Below are 26,716 nucleotides of genomic sequence, written 5' to 3'. Positions count from 1 at the left end.
GGCTGATTCCTGGAGGATTGGTGGGAATAGGCTAAACCAAAGTTTGTCAACTTTTTGTTCGTCTTTGCCCCCCAGGAAGCTTTTTAGGTGGTTTTTCCCAATGGCTGGCACCCATGCATCTTTGGTACTAGGATACACTGCATATCCATTCATGTCCTGTGTCTCTGGGCTTGTGAAGAATAAGATCCTCCCCACCCCAAGAGCCAGCGTTTACCCCCTGGAGGGTGGTGCTGACCCCGTGGAGGCCTTGACAGTGCTCAGGTGCACCAAGGAAGGGACACAAGTGTCTGCCAGAGAGGGCGGGCACAGGGCAGGAGCCCCACTGCTGCCTGAGAAAAACCCTAAGTGATGAGACACAGTTCTCTCCAGCGGAAATCACAGCAAACGCAGATCCCACCACAGATGTGCTCCCGAACGCACAAGGCCACAGCCTTGGACCTCTTAGGGCCCTGCCAGAAACCACAGCGGCTGGAGGTGACACCAAGGACCAAGTCCCCCTGCGGCCTCTGAGTCCCTGCAGGTGCCCACCGCCCCCAACTCCCCTGGGTGGTCCCAGGCACCCCCTCGCCCCTGCGCCCCCTGCCATGCACCCCTGCTTCACTCTGCCCAGGAGCCCCTTCCTCACTTTCTCCCGAGGAAGGAACCCGCCCAGCCTCCCTGAACCCCAGCAGGTATGAGCCCAGCGGCCACCTGTCACCTCTGAGCCTGGGACCTTGCCTCCCTCGCTGCCGCGGGCCAGAGACCATCAATGCCTGAGTGGGAAAAGGGTCTCAGAACTCGGCCCCTGAGCAGCACATTCCTTGGGTCACATCTGGGCTGGGGACAGCAATGACACTGATGTGTTCACCCAAAACAGGCCTCCTATATGGCCGATTTGGAAAGTGCACTCAGGGCATGTTGGTATTGGGGGTGGTTTTGGACTGGACCCAGCCCCCATGTGACCGAGGCTGTGCTTGCAGGAGGATACTTCTCCGGTGAGCAGGCGGGAGAAGTGTTGGAGAGCGCCGTCCTGGCTTTGTGTTCCCAGGTGAGCCGTGGGTGCTGTCGCGTTCTCTACATCCATGTTACACAACCGCCCAGAGCGACACGCATCCCCTTAGCATCACCCAGACCGACACGCACCGCCTTAGTATCACCCAGACTGACACGCACCCCCTTAGCGTCACCCAGAGCCTACACGCACCCCCTTACCCAGACCGACACGCACCCCCTTAGCATCACCCAGAGCTGACACACACCGCCTTAGCGTCACCCATGAGCCGACACACACCGCCTTTGCAACCCAAACATTCACGTGTGTTCAGTGTTTAGTAAAAACTGTAGGATTACAAGAAAATATGGCTACATCAGAAATTTTTGCAAAAGAAACCTGTCGGGGCGTCTCCAGATCTGCACACACCCAGGCCCTCTCACACACCTTTTGCAGCTACTTTGAGAATTCTCTGAGCATTCGGGGGACTCAGCCTCCAATTTAAATTTGTTTCCTGGCAGTTTCCTTGTTTATTATATTCTTTTACCTATGTCACCCAGGAAATCAGAGGGCCCCAACCCCACATTCTGATCCGGCATCTCTCTTCCATCCGGGGACAGAAGCTGCAGTGCTGTGCTGTTTAGCACGGCAGCCGCTGGGTTGGGGGAAGGCGGCTGTGTGAGTGAGGGTCTCCGATTTCCTTTCATTGCACTGATTTTGAGGAGCCACTTGTGCTGGTGCTGGTGCTGCTGCGGTGGGCAGGGCCACTGTGTCCGTGGAGACGTCATTCCACTTTTGCTGCTAGGAACTGGACTGAGTGCTGCTGCATTTTAGCACAATGTCTCAGGTGACTGCAGACGTGGCCTTTCATCTCCCCTGTCACTGCTTTCACACTTGATCTGGGACCAGTGGAACGTCCCTGTGACTGGCTCTGAGCCTCTCTCGGGATTCGTTGTATAAAGCCCTTCCCTGAGCCTGCGGTTCCAGAGAGGGGCGTGTCTGATTGTGGCGCACGTATGTGGCCACATTTACTCGTCTTAACATCGAACTGGCCACAGGGAGGGGTTTTCCTTGGCTCCTCCAAGAGCCAAATTTTACCCCCTTGGGGCAGTGTTGACCCCATGGAGGCCTTCAGAGTATGCAGGTGCACCAAGGAAAGCACGGGGGTCTCCTCGCCAGAGAGGGGGGCATAGCGGGGAGGTGTTGTTGATAAAAAGTGTCCGGGTGTGGTGGCTCATTCCTGTAATCCCAGCACTTTGGGAGGCCAAGGCAGGAGGATCACTGGAGGCCAGGAGTTCGAGACCAGCCTGGGCAACGTAGTGAGACTTCATCTCTACAAAAAATAATTTTAAAAAATTAGCCAGGCTTGGTGGCACATGCCTGTAGTCCCAGCTGCTCAAGAGGCTGAGGTAGGGTGGCTTGAGCCCAGGTGTTCGAGGCTGCAGTGAGCCGTAATTGCACCATCACACTCCAGCCTGGACAACAGAGCAAGACCCCGTCTCAAAAAAATGACAGCCACAACTGATTTCCCAGTGAGGCTATGGCCAAGGCTGGATGACCGTTGTGTGCCACTCTGTGTGTGCCCATCCATACCACTGTCTTGGGGAGGCCAAGGTCAGCCAGGTGGAGAAGTTGCCAGCCATCCACTAGACCAGGGCCAGCAAACTCAGTCCAATCCTGCCGTTCACCTGAGTGTCGTCTGTGGGTGCCTTTGTGCTTCCACGGCACAGTAGGCAGTTGCCAGAGACCGTGGCCCGCAAAGCCGGTAACATCTCCCACCTGGACCCTTACGGAACACGTTTGTCGGGCTCAGCGCCTGTGCTCTGCCGAGAGCTTCTCTCCGGGAGCAGTGGCATTTGTCTGCGGCCTCTGTGCTGAGGCACGTGGACCAGGACCAGGTGGCCACGCCCTGCAGAGCGCGGCGCTGAAGCGCAGAGGTGCACTCAGTTCCTCCATTGTGGCCTTTCTTACTCTGTACTGACTGATTGCCTTTGATCCATATCATTAGCGGTGTCTCCCATTCCTGGGTTCTATGCAGTGTAGCCACGGCATTTCATCATATTTTAAGGATAATTTTTGTTTTGCATCTTAAGAAAATTCTTGAGAGTCCACTCATATAAATTTCATGTGTCATATTGAAGAATAATTTGTCCAGTGGAATGGGAGAGTAATAAAACCACCGCCAACCGAGGAGGCTTCATATGCTTATGGCTTTTCCAAGTGCTCATAAATGCCTTCTCTATTACATGTTTTCTGAACATATTTTCCTTTACTGGAACAGCAGTTGCCCAGATAAGCCAAGGCTTAGAAACGAGCCTCTGAATGCAGTTGCTAATTCACGAGCTTCAGGGTCGTCACTTTTAAGGGCCTTTTCTACCTTGTTGGGAAGAAACAAGCCCTAGAAGTCCTGAGTGAAAAGCAGCATGGTGAGAACATTCCAGTGCACAGCAAGGGCCTCGAATCCAGGCCGGTGAAGAGATCACGCATGGGCAGCAGAGCCGCACGTGCCGCTCAGGTGACCCGTTGCTAGTGGGTCCTGGCAACCACACACGGGGCTGTTATGCTTTGGTCACCATGGAAATTCCCGGGAGGTGCCAAGTGTCTGGGCTTTGTTTTCCAACAGCTGAAAGACGATGCAGTTGCCCTGGTAGACGTGATCGCTCCTCCTGACTTTGTTCTGGACTCACCGATTGGCAGAGCCGACGGCGAGGTAAAGGGAGGACAGGGCCTCACGGGAGTGCCCCAAGGGTTGATGGGCATTTCTGCGGAGCTGAGATGCTCCTGTGGGTCAGGGGTCTGGTGTCTTCTGGAAAGTGGTCACACATGGAGGAGCTTCTTGGGGAGGGCCCGGGACAAGTCAGGACTGTCTCACTCTGGTGCTTCCCCATGCTGGCTCTGTGGTTGCAGGGGACTTGCCCATCCCCTGCCTGCCTTTTCCTCCCGAGATGGGGTGGTGGCACTGCCCGCCTGCACAGGCAGAGGTTGGAGGTCCACACACTGTGACCTCTGCCCTCCTCCCACTCCCCCCGGCCTCCCCGGTCCCAGGTCTTACCCCCATCTGACCATGCTCCTGGCCCTGCAGGCCTCTTCCCCCATCCCTGTCCTGGAATCCCCAGGCCCCTCTGTCCCCTCTGACCATCCATGGTTGTCACCGGGGTTACTCTCCCCTGCCCCGCTTTCCCCCAACCGCCTCCCTGTGGCTCCTCAGCTCTCCTCCTGCCCCCCATGTTCCATAATGATTCCTTCATAGCAGATGGGGTCAGGCCGCCCCCCTGAGGGAGCCTCCACCAGCCTCCTCGACTGCCTGCCACGCCCCAGCCCCACACAGCCACTGAATCCTTCCAAGGCCCTTCACCCCACGCTCCCCTCCTGCCCACCAGATCTAGCCTTACTGGCCTCCCCGTCTGTCGCGCCAGGCCCATGCCCACCCCAGGGCCTTGTGCCTGCTGCTCGGGCTGCCTGGAGTGCCTTCCATTCTTTCAGTATAAGCTGACTATTGCTGCCTTGGAGAGGCCTTCTCTGGCCTCCAGCTGAGGCAGTGCCCCCAGGCACTGTAGTGCTGCCCTTGCTGGCCTCATCACTGACCTTGTGTCTCCCTCCCACCTGATGATGCCCTCGAGGAGCGATGCTCACAGGTCCACTGGGTGCCTTCCAGCACCCCACTGCTTATGGGGCTGTGTCTGTCTTCTGCTAGAGGGACTCGGCGTGTCAATGCTCATGTCCCATGCCTGAGGTCCCCTGGCTGTGAGTCACAGAGGGGTTTGACCCCATCCCTGCCCCCTGGCCCCGCAACTGAGTTATTTCTGCTGAAGCACCTGCTGAAGCACCTGGGTCTCTGCCCAAATGGAGATTGAGCCTTAGTGGGCAGGACCCTCCCTCAGTCCTCAGGGAATGCTGAAGTCTGTACATGAGCCCTTACCGGCTTAGCCAGGGAGGGCCCAGCGCCTGGCCTCAGCGCGGCCCAGGCTACACCTGGGTTGGGCTAGGTGTGCCAAGAGGCAGGTAGTGCCAGGAGCCGGGTGGGCAGGGCAGGAGGTGAGAGTTCCCCGTAGTAGGAGAGGCAGGGATGGTCATCTCTGCAGAGGGCCTGCTGTCCTGCATCGGGGACTGACCACTGACCATCCCCAGAGCCCATACAGCCCAGATGATGACTGCCGCTGAGAGCTGAGAGCCAGAGAAGCCCAGTGGGTTTCCCAGCCAGGGAGTGGCAGAGCCAGGATTTGAAGAGACTGTGCCCTGCTGTAGGGAGAGAAGACTTGGCGGGAGCCTTGGGTCCTGGGGGAGCGCATAGGAGAGGGACTTGCCCTACCCACCTTCCTGGGAGAGGCAGTCTCCCCAGGAGGTGGGGGCTCACCAGGCAGACAGGCATTCGAAGGGACACTGGAGCCAGACCCGCCATGGAGGACCCCCAAGCACACGGGACTGTCTGCCCCGTGCAGGAGAAGCCGGAGCGGCCTTGAGCGTCTACCTGCTGTGCCTTGCTCTGCAGAGGCAGGCCCGTCTCTGAGGCAGGGAACGACCAAGGAAAGGAGAGACCTTGCCCATGATGGAGGGGCCCCCTGGCTCTGGGTTCCATAGTTAAAACCAGAGCCAGCTGGAGGTGTCGCTGGCAGGATGGTTTATTAAACGTGCATTCCTGGCTGAGCATGGTGGCTCACACCTGTTATCCTAGCACTTTGGAAGGCTGAGGCGGGCGGATCCCTTTAGCCCAGGAGTTTGAGACCAGCCTAGGCAACATACTGAAACCCCATCCATAAAAATTACAAAAACTGAGGTGAGAGGATCCCCTGAGCTTGGGGAGGTCGAGGCTGTGGTGGGCAGTGATCGCGCCACTGCACTCCAGCCTGGCCAACAGGGTGAGACCTCATCTCAAAAAAAAAAAAAAAAGTGCATTCCTTCCAGTTGCAAGGAACTGGTGTATTAACCAGGAGCTGCCAGGTGAGAAATTCACTATAAGCGAACAAACAGAGCTGCAGGGGAGTTGAGACCATCCTTAAATCAAGCCCGCTGCTCCAAACTGTGAAACATAAGCTGGAACCTAGGCCCTGTGGAGCAGCAGCCTGGGTCTGTGTCTGTGGAGCCCAGAGTAGCAGAGTGGGGAGGAGGGGTTGCTAAGTGCATTTAGCGGGTGCAGGCAGAGGGGTTTCTTCTCAATAAAATGGGTCAGCGTAAGCTGGATACACAATAGACCACCTCCCCAGGCCCTGGAGATGGTCTGGGCTGCCCCTTTCCACCCTGCACGGGTGAAGTGTCTGCTCAGCTGCCCTTCGCCCTTCATTTGTACAACCTTCCTCCAAGACAGGAGCGTCTCTCCCCATCTTCCCAGTGAGGCCACTTAGGCTGAGAGCAGTGAAGTCTGCACCTCCCGTAGGGGAGTGCTGGCCCGGGGCAGGACCAGAGGAGCAGGGTGTGGTGGCCCAGGTCCAGAAATCAGCCAGTAAGGGCCACTCGGCGAGGGCATCCTGCTGCTGGTGGCCACGTGCCACCTGTGCGGCCTGTAGCGGCCTGGGGTGTGAGAGCAGATTTCAGAGCAGCAGTCGATGCAGCCTTGCAGCATCCTGCGGTGGCTGCAGTTACTAAGAAACAGCGTGTCCACTGCCACGATCAGTTCTTTTTTTTTTTTTTTGAGATAGGATCTCACTCTGTCACCCAGGCTGGGGTGCAGTGGCATAATCTCGGCCCACTGCAGCCTCAACCTCCTGGGCTCAAGTGATCCTCCCACCTCAGCCTCCCAAGTAGCTAGAACTACAGGTGAACTCCTCCATGCCCAGTTAATTTTTTGCTTTTTTTTTTTTTTTTTTTTTTTTTTTTGTAAAGATGGGGTTTCGCCGTGTTGCCCAGGCTGGTCTCAAGCTCCTGAGCTCCAGTGATCTGCCTTCCTCAGCCTCCCAGAGTGCAGGGATTACAGGAACGAGCCACCTCACCCAGCCAATAATTTCCAAAGAAGAGGGCGAGGGGTGATTTTCATTATAAATGTGTTTTATAGTACTTTATAATTGAATTGTCCTAATTGTTTTCTACTAGAAAAAAAAAGAAAATATTCATATAAATTTAAACCATTTTAAAATTTCTCTAAAAAGTGACAGAGAATTTCCTGTGCTTTTTTGTTATTGTTGTTGTTGTTTGTTTGTTTTGAGACGGAGTTTTGCTCTTGTTGCCCAGGCTGGAGTGCAGTGGTGCAATCTCGGCTCACTGAAACCTCTACCTCCCAGGTTCAAGTGATTCTCCTGCCTCAGCCTTCCGAGTAGCTGGGATTACAGGCATGCACCACCACACCTGGCTAATTTTGAATTTTTTTTTAGTAGAGATGGGGTTTCTCCATGTTGGTCAGGCTGATCTAAAACTCCCGACCTCAGGTGATCTGCCTACCTCGGCCTCCCAAAATGCTGGGATTACGGGCGTGAGCCACTGTGCCCAGCCGAATTTCCTGTGTTTTTAACAAAAACTTTGAGGAGTTGCATTTGCACACTCAGCCGTCTAGGAATCTTTTCCTTCTTATTTCTTTGTCTTCACTTGCTGTGTACGTGTTGTTTGCAGCTCTACAAAAACCTCTGGGGCGCTGTCCTGCAGGAAAGCAAGGTGTTGGAGCGGGCATCCTGGTGGCCAGAGTTTTCTGTGAACAAACCTGTCATAGGAAGTCTGAAATCGAAGCTCTAGTGGGACTGGCACACATTCAGCCAAGTCTAATGAAACGAAGGGAACTAATCAGACGTGGACCTCAACTTCTGATTCCAGAACACGCCGGAGATTGCTGCTGCTTTCTGAGCCCGCACCTGTGCGCCTAAACTGCTGATTGGCCTCAACTGCCCAGGCGGACGGGAGGGAGGCACCCGGCCGGCTGGACTAATCTGGGATCGCGGTGATTTGCAGCGTGGAAAAGAAATGCAGATGATCATGTCTACCTGATGCGCCGTGGGTTTTTTGATAATTAGAATTTCGCACATTCAGTTTTCAGGGTTCAGCTCCTTTCTCTAAAGTAAACAGCCCATTGTCAGGGATCTTCTGGTCAGACAACCTGTGATTCATCTAGATTTTTTACCGAGCTCCACTTCATTGAGAAGTCAATGATGCCAGTCTGGTTCTTTGTCAACTCTCCCTCGGCTTTGTCACATAATTGAATTATGTCATAACCTTATTAATTTGCACATAGATCATCTGAATGTCGTGGTTTAAGACTTAAGGAGGAACATCTGTTTGATTACTTTCTTTTGTGGAACTGGAAATTTCCATCGAGGAAATGTTTTTTTAAAAAGTCTAATGATTTGAATGGGCAATTCAGTCTCCAACCGCCCCCCTCCCCCTGCCGCCAGTTATATACAAATCACTTTATTGGTAACATGTATGATCTGTTTGTCCCTGCAGAGTCTACCCAGCAAGTCCTTGCACACATGTGGCCTGTCCCCATGGCGCTGGCCACAGCCTGACTGCAGCAGACCGGGGCCATCAGTGCACGCCTCCCCCGGTCACTCCTGCTCCCTGCAGGGCCATGGGCTTGGCTGCCCTTCCCAGTGTTAGGTTCCCGGAGCAGTTCTGTCTTTGCATCTGGGTCCTGCTTCTTAACCTCTGATCAGCTCAGGGCACGGAAGGCCTTCGTCTTCAGTAGCAGGGAGTTGGGTCACTCTGGTGCCCCCTGACCCCCGTGGCCACACTCGTATCACCACAGCCCATCAAACAGATGTAACCCAGCATGTCTCAGGACGGTGCCGAACCAAATAAGACCAGTTCTTATTTTTCCAGGTAGCCCAGAGAACTTTTGAGCGTCTGAAGGGCATGGTCCAGAATGTTTTTAAAAACTGAATTTCCAGCACTGGAAATCACTTCTGAAGCCATTTTCATGTTAGAAAAGGGTCAGGACACCACCCCCCCACCACATCCCACCCGTCTGGGGCTCCAGGGGCATCTGAGGGGTAATTAGTGACTTCTTTGATGATCACCTACCGCCTGCCAGCACCTTACTGAGCACTCAGGATTCATCATCTCGTGGGACGCTCAGCCAACCGCGTGGGGTGAGCTGTGCCGTTTGCTGCATCTGCAGAGAGGAGACTGGTCCCAATAGGCTGGACACTGCCGCAGGCAGACAGCAGGAGGTGGCCGAGCGGGACCAGAAGCCATGGGACCTCCCTGGTGCCTGAGTGCCCCAGCACAGGGCTGAGACGCAATAGGTAGGTGCTGGTATCCATTGTCACTCGAACCCAGGAGCATCCCCACCTGAATTCATCTTACTCTGGTTTAGAAGCTTCCTTGGGTTTAAACAAACTCTTCGTGGGTTACATGTGTTTTGTCTATGATACTCTTCCTGCTTTCAGAGAGAATGGGAATGAGAGTGCTCAGGCCCTTGCGAATTAGATGGAGCAGTTCCGAGTACAAACCCAGAGAACACGTCAGTGGTGCCTGCCAGTGTCGGAGGGGCTCATTCCCCACTGAGGCTGCCACCCACAGGCCTCACGGGCCCGGGGTCCCCAGCCCCACTGCCTGGGGGTCCCAGCCCAAGAGCAGTTGGGCCTGCGTGGGCTGTCAACTGGGGTCATGCAGATTTCCACCAGGGGTCCCCCTCATAGGATGCCTCAGGCCGTGTGTGTGTGGACGGCTCCTTTACCTAGACCTGTAGCTTTTCTAAGCGAGAAGGAACAGGCTCCCAAGTCCTCTGATGTGCCCGCAGCTAGATTCTAGGTGGTGGCCAGCCTGAGTTAGAGTCACGGTCACTCCTGCCTCACCACCCTCCAGAGCAGGCCCCAGCTGTCCTTGTCTCCCAAGTAACAGCTTTGGGCATCTCCGGAGGGGTTTTCATGTTTTGCCTTTTTTATCACTTGGGACCTTGGTTTGTGGTCTCGTCCAGCCTTTGGTCTGAAACTACCTGTTTTTCTACCAGCAGGTCACAGAAGTTGTTCAAGGTCAAGGGTATGTTCAAGGTTTACAGAAAAAAACACATTTGACTTCGGTGTCATATATGACGGGTTCTCATGCAGGAGAGCTTTGTGATGTCACGATGTCACCATGTCAGACACGACAGGTTCTCGTGCAGGAGAGCTCTGCGATGCCTGTGGCCATGATGTCACCATGTCAGACACAACGGGTTCTCGTGCAGGAGAGCTTTGCGATGCCACGATGTCACCATGTCAGACACGACGGGTTCTCATGCAGGAGAGCTTTGCGATGCCACAATGTCACCATGTGGTTTGCATTTTCATATCCACCTGTTGGAAAGGTCCTCATTCGCCAACTGTGGGAGCTGGCACACTTTACTGGCAGTGTTGACAAAAAGCCAAGCTCTGTGAAATATTTGAAGAGGTTTATTCTGAGCCAAATGTGAAGACTATGACCTGTGACACAGCCCTGGGAGGTCCTGAGAATAGCTGCCTAAGATTGCTGGGTTACAGCCTGATTTTATACATTTTAAGGGGACAGAAGTTAGAGGCAGAGAGGTCAGTCAGTACATGGAGAGTGCACATTGGTTCAGCCCAGAAAGGTCTGAAAACAGGCTTCTAGGTATAGGTGTGTTACAGGAAAAGGGACCCCATCTGGACCCCAAGAGAGGGTTCTTGGATCTCATGCAAGAAAGAATTCAGGGTGAATCCATAGAGTAAAGTGAAAGCAAGTTTATTAAGAAAGTAAAGGAATAGAAGAATGGCTACTCCATACAGCAGCCCCAAGGGCTGCTGGTTGCCCATTTTTATGGTTATTTCTTGGTGATATAATAATCAAAGGGTGGATTCGTGCCTCCCTGTTTTAGACCTTGTAGGGTAACTTCCTGACGTTGCCATGGCATTTGTAAACTGTCATGGCGCTGGTGGGAGTGTAGCAGTGAGGACAACGAGAGGTTACTCTCATGGCCATCTTGGTTTTGGTGGGTTTTAGCCGACTTCCTTACTGCCACCCATTTTATCAGCAAGGTCTTTATGACCTGCATCCTGTGCCGACCTCATCTCATCCTGTGACTTAATGCCTTAAGTGTCTGGGAATGCAGCCCAGTAGGTCTCAGCCTCATTTTACCCAGCTCCTATTCAAGATGGAGTTGCTCTGGTTCACATGCCTCTGACATTGCTCCCCTCCCTTTTATAAGACAACCTTTAATCCTAAGGGTTGCAGAGGGATGAAGATCCATCTTCTGTAACTTCTTCAGGGTGAATAGGGTCCATGATACTCCTGCCTATTAAGGTCTCTTCTGTTCAGGGTAGAGAAGAGCTCAGCCAGAAAGCCTTGGAATGGTGAGAGCCATTCATAACTCTTGAGTTCTCACAAAAGGTGATATATGAAAGATTATTAAGTGTTTAAGAAAACATTCAGTAAGCTTGTCCTATATTCCTACACAAAGAGTACAACAGCAATATAACAGAATAAGCAAAGCTATCCCAAGTGAACTAAATTAGAAGGCTTTCCATGAACTGGGCATGTTGGAACTAAGCTGACATGGGGCTGTTAGCTGATTCTAATGTGCCCAGAATTAGAATACTGATCCAGATGTTTACATTATCCATCCCTCTTGTTTCTTCTGAGCAGCAGCCAGAGATCACTGGTTGGTTCACAGGAATAAGCAGGGTTAGCCTAAATTGCAGAAACAAACTTAAAAACAACAATGAAACTAGAATTTAAGAAGTGTACCATAGTTCTTGAAACATAATTTCTCTCTCTAGTTTCCCATTTTCCATTTTTACTAAAAACAAATCTTGGTAAGACTGATTTTATTATACTTGGCCTGATTGTTTGTATAAAGTACAGCAAGAATAATTATTTTTCACATAAGCTCTTTTTAAATTGGCTTTGATGGAACTGTGTTCCATAGAAGGAATCTCAGATAAGACTTTTTTAGAGCCAGGCCCTGCCATGGGTTTGTACCCTCAAATACCTATGAGTTGAGTAAATTCCTCTCCTCTTGAGCCTCAAGATAGCTTGGGGCTACTGGACCTGTCAGAAAGTGACATTCTTCATTTACCACAGGTCAGGAACCCCATACAGGGACTGTGAAGACAAGGTATGAGGCATTTCGCCAAGGGGCTTTTATTGGCTTTACAAGTCAAGTTTGATTCCTTAATGCAAAGCATCCCATTCCAGTTAAAGCCTTGGTAAAATAACCAGTTTTTCCAATTGTCTCCTGTTACAAAAGAAATCAGATGTTTATTGCACTTATGCAAATAACTATATTGCCATTAAATTAAGAATACTCACAAATAGTTTCCAAATTCTGGAGAAAACAGAGAAATATGCTCCAAATTTTGTTCACAGGAGTATATTTTACTCAATTGCTAAAAGCTGTACATAGCTCAAAAGAAAAGTTTCCTTGACTCTGAGAAACGAAACAAAGGATCAGCAACATTTTAAGTAAAGTTAAAAACATTACTTCAGTTTTTTATTGGTTCAGTTAATTTAGTTAACTCCTGTTTTGCTTGATATTCATGAACATTTCAGCTCTCTATGAGAGTTCTGAAAGTTTTTCCTCCATTCTAATATCACAATTTCCAAAGTTATTAAAAACCTGCGTTTAAGAACCCCTGTGAGAGCTCCATAGTTGGTTATAAACCACCTTCTAAAAAGGATTAAAACAAGATAACAATTGTCTGTGGATAACAAAATATTTTAGGGCAGCCACAATCAAAAACATGAAATTTGGTTACCTTTGTGGCATGCAATGATTTTATGTAACAATTATAATTATTAATAACATACAGTAAGTCACATTAGAATTAGAGGATTTTCCCATACTTTTGGAACATATACCAATAACACATTTATACAAATAACAGCCCAAAGAAAACCAAACACCATTTCACATTTGATAATGCTTCCTGAGCAATTTTTGTACCAAATAAGCCAAACGTCACTCTTGCATTAGTGCACTGTTGATGTCAAAGCCAATTAATTCTTAATGAAATCTTATAGACAAATGTGTTCAAACTTAATCAGTTTGGCCATAAGGTAAGTTTCTCATAAGCCTTTGATAACCCTTTACACATTTTTATTAAAGAGCAGGTCATAGGCAGGTTTTTGCTCGAAGAAAAAACCTGTTATGCTTTTATTCCCATGTTCAGTTTACAGAAAAACTGAATAATACCCCTTTAACTTTAGCCCATTTGTTCACACCCAGAATTTTTTTACAAGATTAACTTATAACAAGCCTTCCACAACTTGCGTAAACCTTCAGCTTGATTCTAATTTAAAACAATCCTTTTTTTTTTTTTTTTTTTTTTTTTTTTTTTTGAGATAGAGTCTCCCTCTGTCACCCAGGCTGGAGTGCAGTGGCATGATCTCAGCTCACTGCGAGCTCCGCCTCCTGGGTTCACGCCTTTGTCCTGCCTCAGCCTCCTGAGTAGCTGGGACTACAGGCGCCCACAACCACGCCTGGCTAATTTTTTTTTGCATTTTTAGTAGAGACTGGGTTTCACCGTGTTAGCCAGGATGGTCTTGATCTCCTGACTTCATGATCCGCCCACCTCGGCCTCCCAAACTGCTGGGATTACGGGCGTGAGCCACCGCGCCCGGCCTAAAACAATTCTTTAACTCTTTAATCTAGGTAAGAAAAATCCACATTTCCATGTGTTCTTATAATCTTTTACCAAAAGACACATTTCACTTTTCTTACACATCTTGCATGTAAAACTGTTTTTTTTAGCAGTCTTAATTACATGTGACGATGTTAATTGTTAGTGACTTTTACTCTTGGTGAAAACCTTGGTAAGTTGGGGATTCTAATTGTGTACCAGGTGTGGAATTTAGCCTAGGACACACCAGGCAGAAGTGCAGATAAGGGGGCTGACTCCAGCATAGCTAGGGGCGTGGCTAACTCCACATGTCCCTGGCCTTATCTAGAATCTAATGCTCCAGAGTAGGAAACTGAATAATTTTTAAAAGTCAGGTTGGGCGCAGTGGCTCACCCTTGTAATCCCAGCACTTTGGGAGGCCAAGGCAGGTGGATCACAAGGTCAGGAGATTGAGACCATCCTGGCTAACACAGTGAAACCCTGTATCTACTAAAAATACAAAAAAATTAGCCAGGCGTGGTGGCGGGTGCCTGTAGTCCCACCTACTCGGGAGGCTGAGGCAGGAGAATGGCATGAACCCAGGAGGCGGAGCTTGCAATGAGCCGAGATCGCACCACTGCCCTCCAGCCTGGGCAACAGAGTAAAACTCTGTCTCAAAAAAAAAAAAAAAAAGTCAAAGAAGCAGTTTATGACCTTAAAGCATTTAGCAAACTTAATATCTCACCTGCATAATTTAGACCAAATGTTTACATGTTTGAAGATATTTTTATTTTGCCAATAATCTTTAAAACTCCTTATTTCCCAAAGATTACTTCAGTCACATGAACTAAAAGGCATTACACTTTTTACTTTTCTGACAAAATATTTAAGCACTTATTTTTAAACCAATTAGTTAAAGCTCTTTCATTCATAAACATCACACACATAATACATATAAATACATAGAAGATAAAGAACTTATTTTCCAAGCCAGGAATTGAACCCTGAACCTGGGCCACCATTGTGAAAAGAGAAAGCATGGCCACATGGTTACAAGGTCAAGCTCCCAAGAACATAGAAGACAAGAAGGAAACCTCATCCAGTTTTTTGAGGGACCTGCAGCAAAGTTTGTAATTGACCAGTTTGCTGAGCTGTCTTGAAAAGCAGGCTTAAAGGTGTCCTAAGTCCGTGCTCTATCCTAAGGTACTCCTCTTTATGACAGAGCAATACAGAAAGACACAGAAAGCACACCAGACCTGGTTGGCTACAGCTTAAGACTAGCCTCACAAATCCTTTATTCCATTAATCAAAACTTTACAGGAGATAAACAATTATTTTTTACAATTTATTCAACCAGTTTGCACAGAGAGAGAAAAGCATTGCCTGAGGCAGGATGGGGAAGGCGAGGCGCTCAGGGAGGTCAGAGAAAGACCCATCCATTGCAGCAACACTGAAAAGTTTAGGTGGCTGCTTGTCAGTCATGAAGGGATCTTTTCCAGCAGTCCCGTCAGCTCCCAAGTTTCCCCGTTTAAGGAGGAAAAAACTCCCCAAGTCCTACAATCCTGTACGTGGCTAATTCTGTCACTCACAGCCATCAGCAAAGAGTGCAAGGCAGATTAATCCCAAGAGAATAGCAGTTAACATCCCATAGTGCCAAACCTGCTCTTAGCCAGAAGCGACTTTACTGAGAGGGACCTTACTGAGAGGGGCCTCTAACCCCCTAAATCTGAGAAGGGACTCTAACCCTCCTGAGTTGGGCCTCTAACCCAAGGTTGAGCAAGCGTCCTTACCTTTCCTTAAGAGGGGCCTCTAACCCACTGTGTCTTAGGACAGACTCTAACTCCCCTACGTTGGGCCTCTAACCCAATCCCATCCTTTACCCAGGTACCCCACCACTTATTCAAAGTCGGCCAACCAGTGGTGCAGTCTACTTCTTTTGGGTTGAGGGGTCTCCTCAGTATCGTCCCTTCCATGATTCACCAGAAAGACGTTACCAGACCCTACCACTTACCCAAAGTTACTCTTTGGGTCTGGGGTTTCCACACTATAGTCACTTCTGTGGTCGCCAGAAAGATGTTACAGGACCCCATCACTTAACCAAAGTAAACCTTTGAGTCAAGGGTTTCCACACTATGGTTCTTTCCATGGTCACCAGAAAGATGTTACAGGAAAGGGGTCCCAATCCAGACCCCGAGAGAGGGTTCTTGGATCTCACGCAAGAAAGAATTCAGTGCAAGTTCATGAAGTGAAAGCAAATTTATTAAGAAAGTAAAGGAATAAAAAAAGGGCTACCCATAGACAAAGCAGCCCTGAGGGCTGCTGGTTGCCCATTTTTATGGTTATTTCTTGATGATATGCTAATCAGGGTGTGGATTATTCATGTCTCCCCTTTTTAGACCATATAGGGTAGCATCCTGACGTTGCCATGGCACCTGCAAACTGTCATGGTGCTGGTGGGAGTGTAGCAGTGAGGATGACCAGAGGTCACTCTTGTGGCCATCTTGGTTTTGGTGGGATTTAGCCAGCTTCCTTATTGCAGCCTGTTTTATCAGCAAGGTCTTTAAGACCTGTATCTTGTGCTGACCTCCTATCTCATCCTGTGACTTAGACTACCTAACCATCGGGGAATGCAGCCCAGTAGGTCTCAGCCTCATTTTACCCAGCTCATATTCAAGATGGAGTTGCTCTGGTTCACACGTCTCTGACAGGTAGATTCAAAAATTTCCTGATTGGCAATGGGTTGAAAGAGTTAAGCTTTGTCTAAAAAGTTGAACTCAGCTTGAGTTAAGGTGGGGGCGGGGGTGGTTGTGGAAGCCAAGGTTTTTGTTATGTTGATGAAGCCTCCGGATGGCAGGCTTCAGAGAGAATAGATGTGCATGTCTCTTATAGGCCCTTAAAAGGTGTCAGAGTCTCCAGAAAAAGCCTAATAAGGGAAGCAGATTCTCTGCAGAATGCACATTTCCCCCATGAGAGACAGCTTTGCAAGGGCCATTTCAACATATGTCAAGGAAATATATTTTGAGGTAAAATACTTTGATTCCTTCGGGGCTACTATGTGTCATGTGATGCTATACCGGAGTCCCGTTGAATTGGGTATCTTATTGCTACAGAGAGTCTGTTTTGTCAGTCTAGGATCTCTGTTTTTATTTTAATGTTGGTCAGTTGTGTCTAAATTCCAGAGCGGGGCAGGTATAATGGGGCATCCCGAGCCCTCCTTCCCATTCATGGCCTGAACTGGTTTTTCAGGTTTCTTTGGGTCCCGGTGGCTGCAAGGGGATGCACTCAGTTGGCTGGGGGACTTAGAATTTTAGTTTTGGTTTACAGCAGGATTTGATGGGCATGCATATTTATCAATGTGAAAGTGTTGTCTGTGGGCGGCGGAGGGCTTGGGCCGTGTCCAGGCCACGCACTGCAAGGGTGCAGCCCCCACACACGGTCCCTGCTCCTAAAGCTGTTGCCCCCACTGCAAGAGTGGAGTAGGTTGAGGTGTAGCCATGACATTCTGGAAACTACATTTTTTGTAATAGTCATTTTGAAAATAAAACATTTGAAAATACTGTGCAGCAAAAACTTGAATAATTGGAATAAAAATGTTCAGTTTAATGTCATTGCTTGCTGCCACCGTTTTCTGATTGTAAAACTAACGTGATTATTAGGTACTATTTTGGTAATGTAGAAAACTTTAAAGATGAAAATAGATATCACTTATAACTCCACATGGAGAAATAGTTGCCCCTCCAATTTAATTGATTTACTTTTGGGCCACAGGGGCCCAGAATTTGATTCATTGTACTCCTTGGTTCATGCCAGTGTTCCTGCACCCAGCACTGAAGCTGAACATTGACAGTGATTTGCCCCTGCCCCAGAGTCCTCCCTGCATTCCCCTCGAGGGCCCCCGTCTCCTGGCCCTGGTGTCCACTTTTCTCTCAGCTGCTGGGAACGTGTTAGTGTGCACTGTTCTCCTTTCCCTCACCTGCTGGCTTCATGTTAGCATGCACCGTTCTGCTCACTTTCTTCCCCTCACCTGCCGGGATCATCTTAGCATGCACCATTCTGCTCACTTTCTTCCTCTCACCTGCCAGGATCATGTAAGCGTGCACCGTTCTCCACACTTTCTTCCTCTCACCTGCCGGGATCACGTTAGCATGCACCATTCTGCACACTTCCTTCCCCTCATCTGCCAGGGTCATCTTAGCATGCACCATTCTGCTCACTTCACCTTCTTCTTCTCGCCTGCTGGGATCATGTTAGTGTGCACTGTTCTGCACACTTTCTTCCTCTCCCCTGCTGGGATCATGTTAGTGTGCACCGTTCTGCACACTTTCTTCCTCTCACCTGCTGGGATCATCTTAGCATGCACCATTCTGCTCACTTTCTTCCTGTCACCTGCTGGGATCATGTTGGCGTGCACCATTCTGCACACTTTCTTCCTCTCGCCTGCTGGGATCATGTTAGCGTGCACAGTTCTGCATACTTGCTTCCCCTCACCTGCCAGGAACAGGTTAGTGTTCCCCATTCTGCACACTTTCTTCCTCTCACCTGCCGGGATCATGTTAGCGTACACCATTCTGCACACTTTCTTCCTCTGTGTACGTGTGTGTGGTTTTCCTTTCAGAAATGGGTCATACTCTGTGGACATCTTTTTCCACTTAAAGTGATGGCACAGCCATTTTCCCAGTCAAGTAACATGAATGTACAAGTTTAGCAAACTTCCTCCTGAGAGATGGAGAGATCAAGGCTTCTGCTCCGTGGCAGCCATCCGTGCACATGCATCACTGTGCGTGAGTTGGTCCCAGTGGCTTGCTGAGACATGCTCTGCACAGGGGAGATTTCTTATACCAGCAGTGTGGGAGGCAGTGGGGCAGGTAGAGCCACAAGTGGGGATGAGGGAGCAGAGTCTAGGGCAGGCTCCTGGATGGACACCAGCTACACTGTCTATTGGATGTGGGACTTCCCTCACTGATGAAATGAATAAGAGAATCTTCCTCATCCTGCTGTTGTTGGCGTTAAAACGGGTTAATGCATGAAAGCAACAAAGCCCGGCCTGCAGACAGCACATGGTAAGTCTCCTCTTCCCAGCATGTTCAACAGGAAGCCCTCATTCCCTCTAGAATGTAGGAGTCTTGCCAGCAGTGGCCTGTTTGTTCTCTGCCTGTTGCCGACCTGATGAGAACATAAAATTGGTGTCTTCTGTATAGATTTCCTTCTTATTGCCCCTACTGTGGCTGAACATACCTTCCCCCGTGCTTGAAGTCTGTTCATATATGTTCTGCTGTGATAACTGCCCATTCTTGTTCTCTATCTAAGAAGGCATTTAGTTTTGAAAATATTTTGTTGGCTTGTAAGATATTTGTACATATTAAGCACAGCAAACCTGTAACATATTCACTGTAAATCATTATTCCTCATGCATCATTTGCCATTTAACTGTATTTTTTTCCTTTTTGATGTAACCTGCTATAGTTTACATTTTTAAATCAGAAATGCCTGCACATTTTAAAACGAAGACTCTTATGCTCTAGCCTTTGAGGTCATGCTTGGAAAGTCCTTTCTCACACAAAGATTATTTACACTTTCATCTCTTTTTCTCTGAGTACGTTTCAGTGTTTAATTGACCAGGAATGTATTTCGAGGTGTGATATGAGACAAGGATCTGAAATGCTTTGCCCACTGAATCATCATGCACTGACCGAAATGCCACCTGTATGAGTGCTAAAATCATTGTCGCTGGACCTGTGTCTGCACTGTTTAATTTTAGTGTTGTTTCTCACATCAGCTTCTGTTGTTTTCATGGTTGTGGTTCTCATACTTTTAATATCTGTTGGAGCAAATAAAGCCTCGTTTCTCATCTTTTCCAAAAATGTCTTATGTATGTGAACTTTGGTGTTATTTGTCAAGTCTGGGCATTCTCCCACCCCCATATTAAAGAATGCTCTCTGGAGTTTGTCTGGAGGTTTTGTTTAACTTTTAGATTCACATCAGGAGAATCTTTGTCTTCATGGTAAGTGGTCTTCCCATCTAAGACTATTTCTTCAAGCTGTTTGTAATAAAAAGCTGTGTGATTTTTGTATGTTTATTTTGGTCACCTTATTGAAACCTTATTTTAATTATGACAGTTTTTCATTGATTCTCTTTGGTTTTCCTTCTCTATCATTGGCAAATAGTGATGGTTTACCCTTACCCTTCTGATATAGTTTGGCTGTGTCCCCACCCAAATCTCATCTTGAACTGTAGTTCCCATAATCCCCACGAGTCATGGAAGGGACCTGGTGGGAGGTAATTGAATCACGGGGTAGTTACCTCCATGCTGTTCTTGTGATGGTGAGTGAGTTCTCATGAGATCTGATGGTTTTATAAGGGGCATTCCTCCTTTTAATTGGCACTTCTCCTTCCTGCCGTCATGTGAAAACGGACGTGTTTCCTTCCCCTTCCGCCATGACTGTAAGTTTCCTGAGGCCTCCCCAGCCATGCTAAACTGTGAGTCAATTAAACCTCTTTCCTTTATAAACTACCCAGTCTTGGGCAGTTCTTTATAGTAGCGTGAGAACGGACTAATACACCTTCCAAAACTTTTACCCGTCATTTAACTTTCCTGTCTAATGACATCTGCTGGCCCTGCGGGATCAATCTTTCACACCATGCTGGGGAACCATTGCTTGGTGTCTGCCATTATGGGAATGCCTTCAGCCTTCGTATTAGTTTGATGCCATGTGGACGGTGGACTGGAAAGACAGTCTTGCTTGGCAGTGGACACAAGTGTGTGCCCATGGTTGTGCCCGTGGCCAGAAATCTCTGTGACTCACCAAGGGAGATGCCTGCAGAATGAGAGAAGTTTCTCACTGTGAGCTTAAACACAGAGGGAGCTTCCTGCGGCTACACGGGGCCAGCTGGGATGCATGCCTGCAGAGACATCTCAAAACCACAGGCGGATGAAGAAGATAAAAATCAGCCAGACCCCATCATCTGTGAAAGCCCAGAAATATCTTGGGGTTGAGGTCTTTGCGGCTGTCACTGCTAAGGATCTTGATGGTGGCGGAGGCGTGGGAACTCTTTCATTTTAGGATGTGTAGTTGACATGGAGCAGCCTCTTGGAAACTTGGTTTGGATGCACTTCTGACGGCTCAGCCCAAGCGTGAATCACGTTCCCCCATCATTGTGTATCCACCCCACCCTCCAGGTTTTAGGTGGTTCCAGCCCCTGGGCTGCCGGCCAGCAGGGAGTGTCCATCTGACCAGCATTTAGTGAACACCTAGCTACACGTAGCACTGTGTGGGGACAGCATGTGCCATAGGACCACCTCCTCGTCACCAGAAACTGCCTTCCTCCTTGACTTTGTTCATGTGGGCCTTTTACTAAGACACTTCACAGGCTTTTCATGGGTCCCATGGGGCCGTGTCCCCATCTGAAGCATGCCCCAGCCATGGGTCCCCTGGAAGTCAGGGGGTCTTGGCTTCTCTCCTTGTGTGGTGGACCCTGTGGGCTTCCTGTCCAACTTCCAACCCTTCCTCCTCACTAACAGAACCCCAGTTCTGTCCAGATTTCTCCCCAGATGTGGACAGCCCCAAGCCTTGGGAAGCTGCCCTGCCCCAGCACTGGCACTGGTTCGCCTTAGCTGAAGTGCCCTAGCACCTTCCATTCCCTTGGCCCCAAGGACTGGCTCAGTGATGAGGCAAAGTCCAAGGGTCCTGTTGAGTCTTAAAGACTGGCTGGGGACGTTGGGACAGAAGTGGCCTCTCACTTCCGGGGGACATTGCCCTGGACACTTAGGAGCTTCAGGTGGCCTCAGCCATGGTGCCACCACGATGAGACCAAAGCCACCCTATGGAGTGGGGCATGCCATGGGAATCACGGACCACAGTGGAAGCACAACTACAGGCCGTGACTGCAGGAGGACAGGGCCCTGGATGGACGACAACTCTTCCCTCTCTGGCTTGCAGTTCTCCTGCAGAACTGACCGAATGCAACACCCTGGAAAAAGGAGGAAATGACCCGAACAGCCCAGGGTGTGGCCTTGGTCCTCCCAGATAGGATACTCTGCAACACGTCTGCTCGGTGAGCCCAGTGGTGCCCAGGGTATAAAAACCAGGGCAGAGCACTTTTGGGTCCCTCTGCAGTGCAAGGTGGGCATGCACAGATGCGACTCCGTCCACCCTGGGTGGCTCTCCTGAGCCCTGGGGCCATGGCTCGAGTGGAGCCCAGGCTTCTGTTTGGACTTGCTGCCTGCCTGTGAGCATCCTGTCTCTCTGGACCAGACCTAGGAACCTTGGAGGTGGCCTTCCTGGTGTGGGAGCCGCCTCCTAATTGCTCGAGGCAGCTGGGCAGGGTGCGACAGACTTCTTGCACGGAGCCCCAGCATTGGCCACGGTGGGGACTGCTTGGCCCCACAGGCACGTGCAGAAGAACCCAGCTGGGGGGCTGTGGCCCTGCCGGAGCCTCTACTCTCCATGTGAGGAGGGGAAGATGCGCTCAGTCTCTGGCCTGGGCGGGCCTGTGCCGCATGTGCTGTGCCGTGGTCCCCGGCACTCTCGCCTTTGCATTCCCCTCTGGGGCCACTTGCTGTCATGCAGCTTACATCAGAGGGTTTCCCTTGGGCTCTGGGCTTTGATCCTAAATCTGGGAAGTCAGGGCCACTCTGCATGAGAACCCAGAAACCGGTGTTCCTGTGGCTTCCAGGAAGGCCCCACCCACCTGCACCCATTCAAGTGCAGGGACTGACCTCAGCTCATTTCCATCCCACCAGGCTGTCCAGCAGCCGCCCAGGAAGGGACTTGGTTTGCTTTGTGAAGCTTGGAGGAGGATGTCCCCAGCTCTGCAGTGGTCAGTGGGAGCCCCGTGTTGTGTTGTGAAGGGAAAATGTGCAGTGACTTGTGGAAGGACCTTCCTCCATTCACCCCCTCCATGTACACCCTTGCCTAGGAGATAGACGAGGAGGTTTGCTCAGTCCCGGGCGGCTCTGTGCCCAGCCACTGCACTGAGTTTGGAACAAGGTTTGCTCAACCTTTTATGTGGTTCACAAGCTCCATCTGAATTCTTTCAAGCAAGGAGGCCCACATTGTGCTGAACTGTTTGCTTTGCAAGAGAAAATACACATCTAGTCTTACAGGGCCGAGCACTTGGGGAATGAAAACAACCCAAGAACAGCTGCCCACGCGTCCTCCCTGGGTGTTTGTTCTTCGATGCATTATTTGTTTGCCAAAAATTCTTGACATCTCTTGAATTGTTTTTTTCTTTGCTTCAGAGCAAGGCTTCTAAAAACAAAATAATTTTTTAGGAAGATTTTCCTACGTCATCATCCTTAAAGACCCTGGTCGATGTCTTTTCTGCCAGCCTTCGGGACATGGCACAGGAGCGTATAAAGCAGACAGGCTTGGGAGTTAGGCCCAGGTTCAAATCTTAACTTTGTCATTTGCTGTGAAGTGGCACATTGGGAATGTTTCTTAACCTTTCCAAATTGGTTTCCTCCTATGTAAAGGTTGTAGAACTACCTGCCTTCCAGAGTCCTAAGCATAGGCTGAGATAATATATGTGAAAGTCTCTAACAGTCCTGAGCACACAGAGGGGCTGTGGCTAGACTGGACCCTAGGAGCTGGGCCCAGGAAACTGTACTCCTTCTTGTACCCTTAGACATTTCTGATGGCCACAGTCTCAGGACCTCTGCCTATTCACTGGGCCTGAATTCTGAGGAGGAAAGGGGGGTGGTCAGTGTCCCTGGGGGCAGGGGAGGGGCCATCCGTGCGCTGGTGAAGCTGCTGAGGTGAGGACAACAGTCCCGCCCTGTGTTCTCTGTGTCCTTGCCCGTGTGTGCCCAGGCCGGCTCTGCTCTCGGCTTCCGGTTCTCCCTCCTCAGTGTGGGGCTTTCTCAGGATCTAGGGTAGCCACAGTGTGAGCTCTGGGCGGACCCTTGTCTGCGCATCCCAGTCCTGCACAGAAGGCCTGGCCCCTGCGGAGCCTGGCCTTTGTATCTGTGTGAGCACCACCCCTACACACCTGGCCATCTAGCCCTTCCCAACCCAGGACGGCTGGGAGGCGCTCCCCCTCTGTGCCCTCCCCACCCTTCCCCACGTCCCTGACCAGCAGCCTCTGTGTGGATGTGAACATAGTATAGGCGGCAAGACTCGAGTTTCCCCTGGCGTCAGGGTCACAGGAGCCTGTCACCTTCCGACCCAGCCATGGCCTGTTCTCCAGAAGGAATCACTTGGTGGGCCTCTGTCACCATTGGCTGCAGCAGCCCCAGCCCTCAGGACAGCACTGACTGGGCCTGGCCACTCCTCTCAGCGGCCTGGAAGCTCGTGGAGCCCAGGACCCAGGTCTGGAGGGTCCCTGTCTCCAGCTCCCAGCACAGGGCCGCACACAAACACTGGGAAAGCACTCAGCAAGCCCTGGAGTGGAATGGGGGAATGATGAACAAGTGAAGTGAGTGAATGAAGAAGTGAGTTAATGAATTAAAGGAATGAATTGGGCAGGTCTAGATGGTGAAGCAGGAAGGGGGCCATGCTGGCCAGTGCGCCAGTGCCGGACTTCCAGGCATGGCCTCGCCACTCCAACCAGTGTGGGTCTCTGCCCTCCCCACAGGAGACATGGGCTCTGCTGTCCCCCAACTATGGGCTGTGCATGAGGGGCCGGCTCCCCTCTGTTCCCCTGACCAGGGACGGGTGTCTCCTTGCTGTGCCTCTCGTAGGACCCGCGCGTGAGGGGCTCAGCTGAGGTCAGTGGTGAGCCGAGGAGCTTGGACGGAACCACCTCTACACCAGGCAGGACGTGTGGGCAGCCGCAGAAATCTTGCTGCAGTATGCCATGGCTAGATGGAGTCTGCCAACCAGGGAAAAGTCCACTCTTCCTTGCAATATCATTGCATTTTAAATTCTTTAAAAACCATCACCAGGAAAAAAAATTTAAAAAGCTGCGGCTCCCTTCCAGTCCTATTAAATGAGCAAATGCTCTTTCCAGAGATCCTTACTTGCCAATTACAGTAACTGAGGAATTTTGTAAGGTATGCATTTCTTTTCGCATATAGGAATCCTGTATAAAATAACAGAGCACTGAAGAAAGACTCTGAAACTGCCAAGGGAGGTCGGCCCGCTGCCCTCAGCCTCTGGCATTCTGCATGGGATCCTGGCCTCTGGGTGAAATGTGCTAGAGCTGGGCTTCAGAAACGCAGGCAGGTTCCTCCTGGCCCCTCCCAGAAGTGAGGTCAGCATGGGAGAAGCCACTCCAGGGAGGAGATGACCCTCTGCCTTTCCTGAGGGAGAGGAGGTCAGCAACAAAGACCTTGAAGGTCCCGGGTCTTCCTTTGCAAACACAATGCTGTGGGAGTCCTAGCTCTTTACATCCTTCCCTGGAGTGATGACCACACAAGGTGTTACAGGTTCAGTTGCATCCCCCTACAATTTGTATGTTGAAGCCCTAACCTCCAGGAGTGCAGTGGTGCGATCTTGGCTCACTGCAACCTCTGCCTCCTAGGTTCAAGGGATTCTCCTACCTCAGCCTCCCGAGTAGCTGGAACTATAGGTGTGTGCCACCACGCCTCGCTATTTTTTTTGTATTTTTAGTAGGGACAGGGTTTCACCATGTTAGCCAGGATGGTCTCTATCTCCTGACCTCGTGATCCGCCCACCTCTACCTCCCAAAGTGCTGGGATTATAGGCGTGAGCCACCACGCCTGGCCAAGACAGGGCTTTTTAAGAGGTGATTAGGCCGGGCGCGGTGGCTCACGCCTGTCATCCCAGCACTTTGGGAGGCCAAGGTGGGTGGATCACCTGAGGTAGGGAGTTTGTGACCAGCCTGACCAACATGGATAAACCCCATCTCTACTAAAAATACAAAATTAGCCTGGCACGGTGGCACATGCTTGTAATCCCAGCTACTCGGGAGGCTGAGGCAGACAAATCACTTGAACCCAGGAGGCAGAGGTTGCTGTGAGCTGAGATCGCGCCATTGCACTCCAGCCTGGGTGACAAAAGCAAAACTCTGTGTCAAAAAAAAAAAAGTGATTAAGGTAAAGTGAGGTCATCAGAGTGGGCTCTAATCCAGTCTGACTGGTATCCTTATAAGAGATGAGGACACAGACAGTCACAGAGGGATGACCAGGTGAGGACACGGAGGGAAGGTGGCATCTGCAGGCCGAGGAGAGAGGCCTCAGGAGAAACCAATCCTGTCGACACCTTGGTCTCAGACTCTCAGCCCCCTGAGCTGTGAGAAAATAAATGTCTGTTGTTCCAGCCCCCAGTCTGTGGAACCCCACTATGGCAGCCCCAGTAGACTGATAATCATTCATTCCCTGTGGGATTTTTGTGAGCCCAGCCAGGGACCAGATGATTCCACCTATTTTATTTTATTTTATTTTATTTTATTTTATTTTATTTTATTTATTTTATTTTACAGACAGGGTCTCGCTCTGTCACCCAGGCTGGAGTACAGTGGCACGAGCTCAGCTCACCACAACCTCTGCCTCCCAGGCTCAAGTGATTTCTCCTGCCTCAGCCTCCCGAGTAGCTGGGATTATAGGCACCCGCCACCATACCCAGCCAATTTTTGTATTTTTTTAGTAGAGATGGGGTTTCACCATGTTGGCCAGGCTGGTCTTGAACTCCTGACCTCAAATGATCCACCCGCCTCGCCCTCCCAAAGTGCTGGGATTACAGGCATGAGCCACGGCGCCCAGCTGATTCCACCCATTTTAGATAAGGAAACTGAGGCAGAGAGAGGCTTAGTGGCTCATCTGAGGTCCCTCTGACAGTGGGGCACACCATACCCTGGGGCCAGGTTTCAACTTCTGGTCCAGGCTGTCACCTCCCAGAGGAAAAAATCACACGGTTTAGGGCTGCTGGATGATACAGGATGTTCAAGGGAAGCTGTGAGGAGGCACGTGCAAGCCTGGGAGGCCCAGGGTACAGTTGGGGCCTGATGCAGAAGCCAGCGAACTGCCATCTCACTTCCTCTTCCACCAGCCCTCCAGCCTCCAGAGCCCATCCTCCAGTGAGGACGTGGGCCATAGGAGGTCAGGAGCTGGCATGCAAACTCAAGTTCACCAGGCTCCAAAGTGTACTAGGGTGTCGCTGGAGAGAAACTGCAACCAATTTATGATTTACAGGGTCGTTCGCGCACATTATCTGATACCATCACCTCATGCCCATCACAAGGTCAGGATGAGCCCCGTTTTCCAGATGAGGAGACTGATTTCCAGAGAGCTCAAGTGACCAGCCTGTAGCCCCTGAGTGAGGGAGGAGAGGAGCCCTCGCTGCCTCTGCCCTGGTCTCTGCCCCAAATGAGGAGCTCCCACGGGACTGGGCACTGG

At 50.4% G+C, this 26,716-nt stretch overlaps 1 protein-coding gene across 19 annotated transcripts in view, besides 1 other annotated feature; it reads left to right on the top strand.

Annotated features, from left to right (window-relative positions):
• ACOX3 (acyl-CoA oxidase 3, pristanoyl) overlaps positions 1-19,283 on the top strand; it is an 85,419-nt gene extending 66,136 nt beyond the window's left edge. For 7 of the 19 annotated variants that reach the window (NM_001375784.1, NM_003501.3, XM_047416230.1 and 4 more), the window contains 3 exons: positions 960-1,027; positions 3,594-3,680; positions 7,508-8,306. In NM_001375784.1, coding sequence (NP_001362713.1) covers positions 960-1,027; positions 3,594-3,680; positions 7,508-7,627 — 275 coding nt within the window. In that variant the 3' untranslated portion in view covers positions 7,628-8,306. Of the gene's footprint in view, positions 1-75; positions 521-959; positions 1,028-3,593; positions 3,681-7,507; positions 9,133-9,839 lie in introns of those variants that run through there. The other 12 variants (XM_047416231.1, NM_001101667.2, XM_011513566.2 and 9 more) reach the window with 7 other exon arrangements.
• Positions 20,749-21,299: an enhancer, noted in NCBI's record as "H3K4me1 hESC enhancer chr4:8355016-8355566 (GRCh37/hg19 assembly coordinates)". NCBI's record gives its function as "activates a minimal SCP1, AML or CMV promoter by ChIP-STARR-seq in primed H9 embryonic stem cells {active_cell/tissue: H9 hESC(primed)}" and the evidence as "EXISTENCE:reporter gene assay evidence [ECO:0000049][PMID:30033119]".

This window comes from Homo sapiens, chromosome 4 (assembly GCF_000001405.40).
Source record: "Homo sapiens chromosome 4, GRCh38.p14 Primary Assembly".
NCBI lineage: Eukaryota > Metazoa > Chordata > Mammalia > Primates > Hominidae > Homo > Homo sapiens.
Note: the sequence above shows the minus strand (reverse complement) of the source record. Positions and strands in the feature narration are given on the sequence as shown.